The following is an 11,763-nucleotide window of genomic DNA, read 5'->3' as shown; positions in this document are numbered from 1 at the left end:
CCTGCTCTGTGTGGAGCTCCCTATGTGGCCCAGGCTGGTCTTAAGGATCGTGTGTGTGTGTGTGTGTGTGTGTGTGTGTGTGTGTGAGAGAGATAGGGTCTCACTGTGTCATCCAGGCTGGAAGGCAGTGGCACAATCACGGCTCACTGCAGCCTCAACCTCCCAGGCTCAAGCGATCCTCTGGCCTCAGCCTCCCGAGTAGCTGGGACTAGGGTTGCACACCACCACTCCTGGTTAATTTTTTGTGTGTATTTTTTGTAGAGACGAGGTCTCCCTAAGTTGCCCACGCTGGTCTTGAACTCCTGGGCTCAAGTGACCCACCTGCCTCGGCCTCTCAAAATGCTGAGATTATAGGCATGAGCCACTGTGCCCGGTTCAAGTTAAAGATCTTGAGATGAAATGATTCTTGGGATCATTATCTTGGACGGATTGTAAATCCCAGGATGAATGTCCTTATATGAGACGCGCAGAGGAGAGACACAGAGATGGAAGAGGAGAAGGCCATGTGAAGGCAGAGGCAGCGACTTGAGAGTTGCAGCCACAAGCCAGGATGGCCTGGAAGAGGCAGGAGCAGACTCTTCTTAGAGCCTCCAGAGGGAGTGTGGCCCTGCTGACACCTTGATCTTGGACCCTTGGCCCATCAGAGCTGTAAGAGAGTAAGTTTCTGCTGTTTGAGGTCATCTGCTGCAGGAGCCCCCAGGAACAAATACACCTCCCAATCCCATTTTTAATTCCCGAGGGTTTGCACCCCCAGGACACTTCTTCCACACATGCCCTGTTGTGCTCCGTATTGCCCTGTGTCCATTTGGAAGTGGGACTCCATCCTGTTGATACGTTCCACATAAAATATACTTGTACCAAAAATGTCTTGTTTTTAGGAGACTGTGGGGGATGGGAGTTGGGGGAAGGGTTCCATTTTCCAGGGCAATTATAGCTGTCCCTCAGTATCCTAAAGGGTTTGGTTCCAGGACTCCTGCAGGTACCAAAATTCAAGGATGTCCAAGTCTCTGATATAAAATGGCATAGTATTTGTAAATAACCTATGCACATTCTCCTGTATACTTTAAATCATCTCTAGATTATTTGTAATACCTAATACAATGTAAGTGCTGTGTAAATAGTTATTGTACTGTATTAGTTTTAAAATTTGTGTTATTTATTATTATTATTTTGAGACAGAGTCTCGCTCTGTCGCCAGGCTGGAGTGCAGTGGCATGATCTTGGCTCACTGTACCCTCCGCCTTCCAGGTTCAAGCGATTCTCCTGCCTCAGACTCCTGAGGAGCTGGGACTACAGGTGCATGCCACCACGCCCAGCTAATTTTTGTATTTTTAGTAGAGATGGGGTTTCACCATGTTGGCCAGGATGGTCTCGATCTCTTGACCTCATGATCCTCCCACCTTAGCCTCCCAAAGAGCTGGGATTACAGATGTGAGCCACCGTGCCTGGCCTATTGTTGCTATTATTAAAAAAAAAATTTGGAGATGAGGTCTCAGTCTGTTGCCCAGGCTGGAGTGTAGTGACATGATTATGGCTCACTGCAGCCTCAAACTCCTGGACTCAAGCTATCCTGCCACCTCAGCCTGCCGAGTAGCTGAGACTACAGGTTCGTGCCACCACACCTGGCTAATTTTTGTTTTTTTGGTTTTTGTAGAGCTGTGATCTCATTATGTGTTGTCCAGGCTGGTCTCAAACTCCTGGCCTCAAGTGATCCTCCCACCACAGTGCTGGGATGGCAGGTGTGAGCCACTGTGTCTGGCCTGTTGTTATTTTTAAATTGCTTTTCTTTTTTCAAATATTTTTGATCCATGGTTGATTGAAATCTTGGATGTGGAACCAGGGGGTAACTGAGGGCGAATTGCACTGGGCTTTCCCTTGACTAAATTTGGGCAAAATAAAATGATCTCTAACCTTTGTAAAGCTAATCAGACACCTCTAGGGTAGCAAATCCTAAAAGAAAAAGATCAGGCATATGAGTGCGTGTGTGTGTGCACGTGTATCTGTGTTGCCAAGCTGTTCCCTCCCCCACCCCCACCACTTTGCTTTTGGAGGCAAAGGAAAGGCACCCTCCTGGCTAGCAGGCCAGATGAGCCTTGTCACCTGGGGGATAGGATGCGACCCAGATCTGCTCCTGAGCACAAAGATGAGCAAAATCAAAGGAAATTGCATGAGACTGAAGACCTTCTGTGTGGTCCTCCTGGGAGTGGCAGAAGTTTCTGGTGGAGGCGCAAAACAGGCCCCTGCTACACATAACTTCCATAACCACCAATCCACAGGCAATCCACCCACCCACACCACATCCCAGGCCTCTCCTTTCCGTGCCTGACCTGTGCTCCCGTGGCCTGCATGGGTGTGAGTCGCCTCTTTCTCCACTGCAGGCCTCTTCCAGGATGTCCTGGTGAAGAACACCACTGCCTGTCCAATTATACTAGTCAGAACCCTGGGAGTGTCTCTTGACACTCCTTCTCATCGTCCGCCAAACCCAGCCCATCCCCAAAGCCTGTTGATTGTATTTCCTGCTTGTCACACAAATGCCACCAGCTTTGATGGGCACCTTGTTCCTCCCCTTTGTGGTACTTGTCACAGTTGCAATTTGCCTGTGAGCTCCGCAGAAGACAGATGCCACGGCTGCTTATTCCTTGTCGTGTCCCTGGTTCCTAAAACAGTGCCTCGTGCATCACTGGTGTTCAATAAATACTTGCCAAATCATTGAATAAATAAGCAAATGAATGAAGGAATGCAGTTTTGAGTGAGGATGGTGTTGAAAAGGAATAAAGCCTTCCCCAGTAGTGCCTGAGGTCCATGTAAGAATGTCCTAGATGATAAGACAGGAGACACACGGGCGTGGTAGATGGGCTCTCCCCACCCCTCCCCATAAGAGTGCAAAGCTGGGACAAGCCAGAGGCTTCACAGGCCTGGTAACTGGGGGGTAGGGTTTGGTGATTCCTACCCAGGGCTGGGGGCATCGGGAGGCTCTTCCTCTCTACCTGGACTGTGTTTACCAGGTGTGTTTCCCATTCATTATTTTCCAGTGGGTACTGGGTTCAAAGTTTCTATAAGCAGTGGGGGCTTTGAGGTTCGAGGAAAGTGTAGTATAGCTTTCTCTTCCTTTTAGGAAGATTTCTGTTTTTCTTTTTCTTTTTTTTTTTTTTTTTTTGAGACAGAGTCTTGCTCTGTCACCCCAGCTGGAGTGCAGTGGCATGATCGAGGCTCACTCCAACCTCCGCCTCCCAGGTTCAAGTGATTCTTGTGCCTCAGACTCCTGAGTAGCTGGGATTACAGACATGAGCCTCTGCACCCGTCCTAGGAAGATTTCAAAACGAAGATGAGTCTATTGTAATTTAGAGGGCCATTTTAAACTCCCTGTGTTGGTGGCAGATGGTTTGGGTCTGGCAGCTAGCTCTATCCCAACCTTCTCTATCCACCCTGCAACTCCCTCCCCTCCCCCTCACATTTTATTTTGAAATTTTCAAACATTCTGAAAAGTTCAAAGAAGAGTACAATGAACTTACCCTGGATTCTCCAACTGTTAACATTTTGCCACAATTGCTTTGTCTCTGTTGGTCTCTCTCTGTCTTTGTATATTTCCACATACTTTTATTTTGCTGAGCAATTTGAAAGCAAGTTGCTGACATCTTGACACTTCACTTCTAGATATCTCAGCATCTCCTAATAAGGATATTCTCCCACAAAACCACAATACCATGATCACAACCATAATAGCACCCAGTGTACTATCTGTATTCAAATCTCTACAGTTGTCCCCGGAAGAGCTTTTAATGCTGGATTTTTTTTTCCTATCCAGGATCCAATCAAGATCATGTATGATATTTGGTTGTTATGGCTCTTCAGTCTCTTTTCATCTGAAACAGTCTTTCACCTTTTTATTGTTGTTGTTGTTCTTTGTTTATGTGAAATTAGTTTTTGATAAAGAGTCCAGGACAGTTGTCTTGTAGAGTGTCCCATATGTGGGTTAATCTGATTGCTTACACAAGATTAGATGCAGGTTGAATATCTTTGGCCAGAGTTCTGTACTGCATAGGTGCCACTGTAGACTTCTCAGTCAAGTATCACATCTGGAGTAAATAATGTCAATATCACATCTGGAGTAAATAATGTCAGGCATCACAACTGGAGTAAATAATGTCAGTATCACATCTGGAGTAAATAATGTCAGTATCACATCTGGAGTAAATAATGTCAGTATCATATCTGGAGTAAATAATGTCAGTTATCACATCTGGAGTAAATAATGTCAGGCATCACATCTGGAGTAAATAATGTCAGGCATCACATCTGGAGTAAATAATGTCAGGCATCACATCTGGAGTAAATAATGTCAATATCACATCTGGAGTAAATAATGTCAGTTATCACATCTGGAGTAAATAATGTCAGTTATCACATCTGGAGTAAATAATGTCAGTTATCACATCTGGAGTAAATAATGTCAGGTATCACATCTGGAGTAAATAATGTCAGTATCACATCTGGAGTAAATAATGTCAGTATCACATCTGGAGTAAATAATGTCAGTATCACATCTGGAGTAAATAATGTCAGGCATCACATCTGGAGTAAATAATGTCAGGTATCACATCTGGAGTAAATAATGTCAGTATCACATCTGGAGTAAATAATGTCAATATCACATCTGGAGTAAATAATGTCAGGTATCACATCTGCAGTAAATAATGTCAGTATCACACCTGGAGTAAATAATGTCAGGCATTACATCTGGAATAAATAATGTCAGTATCACATCTGCAGTAAATAATGTCAGTTATCACATCTGGAGTAAATAATGTCAGGCATCACATCTGGAGTAAATAATGTCAGTATCACATCTGGAGTAAATAATGTCAGGTATCACATCTGCAGTAAAAAACATCAGTATCACATCTGGAGTAAATAACATCAGGTATCACATCGGGAGTAAATAATGTCAGTATCGCAACTGGAGTAAATAATGTCAGGCATCACATCTGGAGTTAATAATGTCAGGCATCACATCTGGAGTAAATAATGTCAGTATCACTTCTGCAGTAAGTAATGTCAGGTATCACATCTGGAGTAAATAATGTCAGGTATCACATCTGGAGTACATAATGTCAGTATCACATCTGGAGTAAATAATGTCAGGTATCACATCTGGAGTAAATAATGTCAGGCATCACATCTGGAGTACATAATGTCAGCCACTCTTGGTCATTCTGAGTTTGATCACTAATCCTCACTCTGCTTCCCCTTTTGTAAGTAATTTTTAGAATCTTCACATGGTCACAGGATTAACTGAATATCCAAGTCACCAAACAGTTTTGGCAACTCTTGGTGATGCTTACCTGAAGGAAGCATTACATTGGAGGTTGGAAAATGGTAGTTTTTCATTCTTTTATTCCTGCTACATTTACTAGCTGGCCTTTTTTTCTGTAAGAATTTCCAAATCCCACTATATTAAAAACATTAATCACTGTGGGTTCGTGGAGTTTTAAAAATGCTATAATTGAAACTACAGTTATTCATTTTGATGTTCAAATCATCCCACATTTGAGCAGTGGGAGCCCTCAGGTCAGCTCCTGAATCCTTTTGACATGATCACATTTATCTTCCAAAACTGTTTTGCTTTCTGGTGTGACAAGAGATTCCATGCTCACGTTGTACATTTTCACCCCTGACCTAGAATCTACCATTTCTCTAACGAGCCCTGGTGCCTTTAGTGGTGAATGGTATAGAGAAAGAAAGAACCTGGTGATATATGCGATCATTGCTACTCGGCTGTCATTCAGTGGACAGGATTAGAAAACTCATTTTAAAAAAAATTACAAGTTCAAACTGATATATTTCCTACTCAAATTTAACATTACAGTTTTTCTTTCACTTCTTTACTGACTACTAGTATCTTTTTTCCCCGTCAGTAAAATATATATTTGCTTATTTGCTTTCCACTATACATGCACAAAAGAGTTTCAGAATTACAAGACCAATATTACTGCTAACAGTAAACATACTAAATAGAAGTTTTTCTATAGTTCTTCTGTTCTTAGAACAGATCCTTCTCCACAATCAGAGTGTTTGCTCTGTGTGGTTGTGGTATCAGTTTGAGGCGTTATCAGTTTGATTTCCTTCTTTTGCATTCTATTGTAGGGTATTCTTTATCCCACCTTTTTAACATTTAATTTTATTTTTAAAATACGTGAAACATTTATGTAGTTAAAAAGTAAAAATGGGTTGAGAATAGTGGCTCACACCTGTAATCCCAGCACTTTGGGAGGCCGAGGTGGGAGAATTGCTTGAGCCCAGGAGTTTGAGACCAGCCTGGGCAACGTAGGAAGACCTCATTTCTACAAAAATAAATAAATAAATAAATAAATGAATAAATAAATAAATAAATAGCTGGGTACGGTGGCGTGTGCCACTGGGAGGCTGAAGCAGGAGGATTGCTTGAGCCCAGGAGGCTGAGGCTCCAGTGAGCCACTGCACTCCAACCTTGGTGAGAGAGCGAGACCCCGTCTCTGAAAAAATAAAAAAATAAAAAGTGACAATGATATGAGATATACAAGAGAAGCCTCACTGCCGTTCCTATCCCTTCTACCCCATTCCTTCCCACCTCCACGGTGAATGCCTTCCATTAGTGTCTGTTTAATACTGTATTTCTTTTCACAAAAATAACACATACACGTATTCATTTTCTCTTCTTTCCATATGAAAGATGGTATAATATATATCCTCCTTTGCATCTTACCCCGAACCTCATTATCCGTTCACACAGACCTCTCATGCTCACATTCATTCCTTCCCATTTCAGAACATTCTGCTGTCACATGGAACCTGTTCAGGGTTGGTTTTTGTCTAATCTATATTAATGCTAGTTATTTCAGAAGACCATGCAATACCCGTGAAAACTTCCCCTTCGCTCTCAGAAAGTTTGCACAAAAATCAACTCACAAAAGGCAGGTTAATTAGATAAAACACTATGAATTTATTTTAACGTGTCAAGCATGGGGAACTGTAGCAGAGTGATTATTCGATAACCCAGCGGGGTACATATGCTTATATACCCTTCTTCTTAGGGGAAAGGGAGATGGGGCAGTGTGGATGATTTTAGTTTAAGTGATTTTTAGAGAAATTCAATGGGCTTGAAGAACATACAATGGCCTGGGACAAAGTCTGTTGTGCCTGCAGAGTATACAACGGTTTGTGACAAAAGTCTGCCTAGCTGTGTTGATAGATGTCAGTCTTTCTTCCTGGATATGAGTTCAGTTCATGAAAATTTAGGAAGGGACCAGGAGTAATTGTTTTCTTCTTTAGTGAGTCTGGGCTTTAGGCAGATAAGGGAACTTCAGAGAACAACCTCATTCTGTGCTTTGAGAGAGACAGACTGAGACAGAGGCGGGGGTTGGGGGAGGTCAGAGAAATCTTGTGGCTTCTTCTTCAGTTCAGCATGTCACAGAGCCATATTTGGGGGTATTGGTTTCTGAGCCCCAGTCTCCATGATACCGGCTCCTTTTGAACTGGCATGACCTCTGGATTCTGAGAGTGTGAGAAGGCAATAGGGCGAAGGTCCAAATAAGGGTGAAGGACACAATGCAGGCTGTCCCCTCCTGTCTGGCCTCTAGTGTTCTTGTGTCTCTTGGGACGTGCGTGGCTTGAGAGATGGGTTTGCGGAGAGGGGCTTTGCCACTGGAGGATTATGAAGTGTTGCCAGGAGAGAAGTGGTTTCTGTGCCAAACACTTGCCTCACTCAAAGTGTAAACTTTTCAAAAATTAAGGCACAATTTATATAGCATAAAATTTGCCACTTTAACCATTTATTTTTCTTTCTTTCTTTCTTTCTTTCTTTTTTTTTTGAGACAGAGTCTTGCTCTGTCAGGCTGGAGTGCAGTGGCGCAATCTCGGCTCACTGTAACCTTGGCCTCCCGAGTTCAAGCGATTCTCCTGCCTCAACCTCCCGAGTAGCTTGGATTACAGGCATGCATCACCATGCCCAGGTAATTTTTGTATTGTTGGTAGAAGTGGGGTTTCGCCGTTTTGGCCAGGCTGGTCTTGAACTCCTGACCTCAGACGACCCACCTGCCTCGGCCTCCCAGAGTGCTGGGATTTCAGGCAGAGCCACCGCACCCGGCCCACTTTAACCATTTTAAAGTGTACATCCAGTGGCTTCAGTACGTTCACCGTCTCATTCAACCATAACATTTTTATCACCCCCAAAGGAAACCTCATACACATTAAAAAACCACGCCCCATTTCCCCCTCCCCCAGGCCCTGGCAACCACCAACCTACTTTCCGTCTCGAATGGATTTGCCTATCCTGGATATTTCATACATATGAAATCATACAATATGTGTCCTTTTGTGTCTGGCTTCTTTCACTTAGGTTCATCCAAGCTGCAGCATGCGTTGGTAGTGCCTTCTTTTTATGATGAAATATTCCGTTTTATGAATGTACTACAGTCTAGTTTATCCATTTACAGCTTATGGACAGCTGGGCTGTTTTTACATTTTGGTCACTGTTTTAACCTGTGTTTCTATTCTTCTGGGTACATACTAGAAATGGGACTTCTGGGTCATATGGAAACTCCATGTTTAAATTTTTTTTTTTTTTTGAGATAAAGTCTCACTCTGTCACCCAGGCTGGAGTGCAGTGGCATGACCTCAGCTCGCTGCAACCTCTGCCTCCCGGGTTCAAGCGATTCTTCTGCCTCAGCCTCCCGAGTAGCTGGGACTACAGGCATGTGCCACTACGCCAGGCTAATTTTTGTATTTTTAGTAGAGTCGGGGTTTCATAATGTTGGCCAGGCTGGTCTCGAACTCCTGACCTCGTGGTCTGCCCGCCTTGGCCTCCCAAAGTGCTGGGATTACAGGCGTGAGCCACTGCACCTGGCCCCATGTTTAAATTTTTGATGAACCAACAAATTGATTTCCACATCAGCTGCACCGTTTTACATTTTTCACAAGCAAAGTAGGAGGGTTCCGGTTTTCCCACATCCTTGCCAATGGTTATTTTCCATTTAAAAAATTATAGTCATCCTCGTGGGTGTGAGGCGGTCAACTGTTAATACCCTTTTTGACACAAGCTTCGGGTGTCAAAAGATATGCTCTAATGCTGCCCTTTGGCTTCACGAGGCTACTTAAAGCTTCCAATTTCCTGTAAATCATATTAGACTTTGTTATTGTTACATTAACTTGGTGATCCAAGGGACTCATGGCTGTAGGGGGGCAATCCTGTTATATTCTAAGTGCTGTGGTTTGAATGTGTCCCCCAAAGTTCATGTGTTGGAAACTTAATTGCCAGTGCAACAATGTTGAGAAGTGGCACGTTTAAGTGGTGATTAGGTCATGGGAACACAGCTCTCATGAGTGGATTCAGGCCATTATTGGGGTACTGGATTAGCTGTCACAGGAGTGACTTAGATATAAAATCAGGGAATTCTGCCCCTCTTTCCTTCCTCTCGCGTGTGTTCTCTCTCACGACGTGATGCCTTCCGCCATGGGATGGCCCTCACTAGATACCAGCACCACGCTCTTGGACTTCCCAGCTCCAGAACCATGAGCCAAATAAACGTCTGTGCCTTGTAAATTACCCAGTCTGTGGTATTTTGGTATAGCGGCAGGAGATGAACTAAGACACTATGCATGATGTTACCCTGAACATTTGCATGAAAACAGCTCTTTACATCACATAGCCACACTCAGAATGTGTTATGGGAATACAGAAAAACAGAGGTGGGGAGACGACATTAACTGTGGTGAGGGGGTGAAATAATCCTTGGGACCAGTGACCTTTAGGGGTCTTTTAAAGTGACTTGTGTGCTCAAAATAACTGGCCCGGGCCTGCGGAATCCGGGCATCCTGACAAAACCACATGAATGAGGAGAACGGCACTTTTCATGACCGGCCCCACCAGGGGAATTTTTCAGGCACGCATCTTACTCTGATGCTCAGGTCAGCTGGCTACCACTAGTGAGCCCAGGCCCAGAGGCTGGGGCACCCCAGTGAGTCAGAGCCCAGATCAGGGAGGGTGAGAATTACCACTTCCTGTCTATGAAAAACACTTAGATAAATGTCGGTTCCCACCATGGCTAAGAATCAAATAATATTCTTTCTTCGAGCCTCAACCTCAAGTGCCTGACAAACTCTTGAAAAACCCAAGGCACTGCCCAAAGTAGTTTACACGGGGAGGTCCAAGGTGGTTTCCCTATGGCTGGTTGATGATGTTAATTACGGTATTTTTCAGGATTGGCAGTCAAGCAGATGTTATTAACATTAACTAATTAATCCAGGTCTTATCGCATGTCACCTGACGCCAAGTAAAAGCACCAGAGAAGTTTGGAAGTGGAGAAATGCCACAGGGTGGATCAGGAAAGACAGGACAGAGGAGGGGCCATTTGTGTAAGACCTACCTGAAAGGATAGGTGGAAGGGGACAGTGGGAGGGAAGGGGAGGATTGAGGCAGGGAGGTAAAGGTGCCACCCCCACACAAGCATGGAGCAATGCCAAGTGTCCCAACATAGAATGGACTTCTGGATACATCCACTTTATCCCAAAATTATTATGACAATGTGATCAAAAGAGAATATTGTGGCCAAAATGTTAAAGTTTGACATTCCAGAACAGGAATAATTATATCTTGGCACCGTTCATGGTGACATTTCTTCCATAGCTACTGTACTGAATATTTACCAGGCGAAGAAGACACTTTCAACTGAAGTAAGTGGAGAAGTGACTATTTTGGGGAACCCCCAGGCTACCTAGGGCAGTCTCTTTAACCCCTAGGATCGAGGTGTAGTTATTAAAAGCATCCACTTTCATTGCCCAAAGTGTCCCAGTTTAGACAATAAACTATATGGTCACTCTATTTATCATGGATTTTAAATTATTTTTAAAAATTGTGGTAAAATAGACATAACCTAGAATTCACCATTGTAACCACTGTAAGTGTTGAGTTCAGTGGAATTAAGTTATGTTCACCTAGTACAACCACCACCAACTCCCCATCCCCCACTTCCCCCAGCTCCTGGCAACCAACCATAATCCTAATTTCTATGTCTATGCATTTGACTACCCTAGGTACCTCTTTAAGTGGAATCATACGGTATTTTTCTTTTTGTGATTGACTTATTTGACTTAGTATAATGTCTCCAAGTTTCATCCATATGAGAGCATGGGTCAGAATCTCCTTCCTTTGTAATGTTGAGTAATACTCCACTGCGTGTGTATTCGTCTGTTCTTGCATTGCTATAAAGAAATACCTGATACTGGGCCAGTCACGATGGTGCATGCCTGTAATTCCAGCACTTTGGGAGGCCAAGGTGAGAGGATCACTTAAGTCCAGGAGCTCAAGACCAGCCTGTGCAACATGGTGAAACCCCATCTCTACAAAAAATACAAAAATTAGCTGGGCATAAGCCGGGCGCAGTGGCTCATGCCTGTAGTCCTAGCACTTTGGGAGGCCAAGGCAGGTGGGTCACGAGGTCAGAGGATTGAGACCATCCTGGCTAACATGGTGAAACCCCGTCTCTACTAAAAATACAAAAAATTAGCTGGGCGTGGTGGTGGGCGCCTGTAGTCCCAGTTACTCGGAAGGCTGAGGCAGCAGAATGGCGTGAACCCGGGATGCGGAGATTGCAGCAAGCCCAGATTGCGCCACTGCACTCCAGCCTGGGCGACAGAGCTCACTCCGTCTCAAAAAGAGAAAAAAAAATTAGCTGGGCATAGCGGCCCATACCTGTAGTCCCAACTACTCAGGTGGCTGAGGTGGGTGGA

At 44.1% G+C, this 11,763-nt stretch overlaps 5 annotated features.

Moving 5' to 3' along the window:
* Window positions 2,479-2,618: an enhancer, noted in NCBI's record as "active region_17272". NCBI's record gives its function as "activates an Ori minimal core promoter by ATAC-STARR-seq in GM12878 lymphoblastoid cells {active_cell/tissue: GM12878}" and the evidence as "EXISTENCE:reporter gene assay evidence [ECO:0000049][PMID:35858748]".
* Window positions 7,250-7,299: an enhancer, noted in NCBI's record as "active region_17271". NCBI's record gives its function as "activates an Ori minimal core promoter by ATAC-STARR-seq in GM12878 lymphoblastoid cells {active_cell/tissue: GM12878}" and the evidence as "EXISTENCE:reporter gene assay evidence [ECO:0000049][PMID:35858748]".
* Window positions 8,404-8,523: an enhancer, noted in NCBI's record as "active region_17270". NCBI's record gives its function as "activates an Ori minimal core promoter by ATAC-STARR-seq in GM12878 lymphoblastoid cells {active_cell/tissue: GM12878}" and the evidence as "EXISTENCE:reporter gene assay evidence [ECO:0000049][PMID:35858748]".
* Window positions 9,938-10,077: an enhancer, noted in NCBI's record as "active region_17269". NCBI's record gives its function as "activates an Ori minimal core promoter by ATAC-STARR-seq in GM12878 lymphoblastoid cells {active_cell/tissue: GM12878}" and the evidence as "EXISTENCE:reporter gene assay evidence [ECO:0000049][PMID:35858748]".
* Window positions 10,198-10,247: an enhancer, noted in NCBI's record as "active region_17268". NCBI's record gives its function as "activates an Ori minimal core promoter by ATAC-STARR-seq in GM12878 lymphoblastoid cells {active_cell/tissue: GM12878}" and the evidence as "EXISTENCE:reporter gene assay evidence [ECO:0000049][PMID:35858748]".

This window comes from Homo sapiens, chromosome 2 (genome assembly GCF_000001405.40).
Source record: "Homo sapiens chromosome 2, GRCh38.p14 Primary Assembly".
NCBI lineage: Eukaryota > Metazoa > Chordata > Mammalia > Primates > Hominidae > Homo > Homo sapiens.
This window is presented reverse-complemented; position numbering and strand designations above follow the sequence as displayed.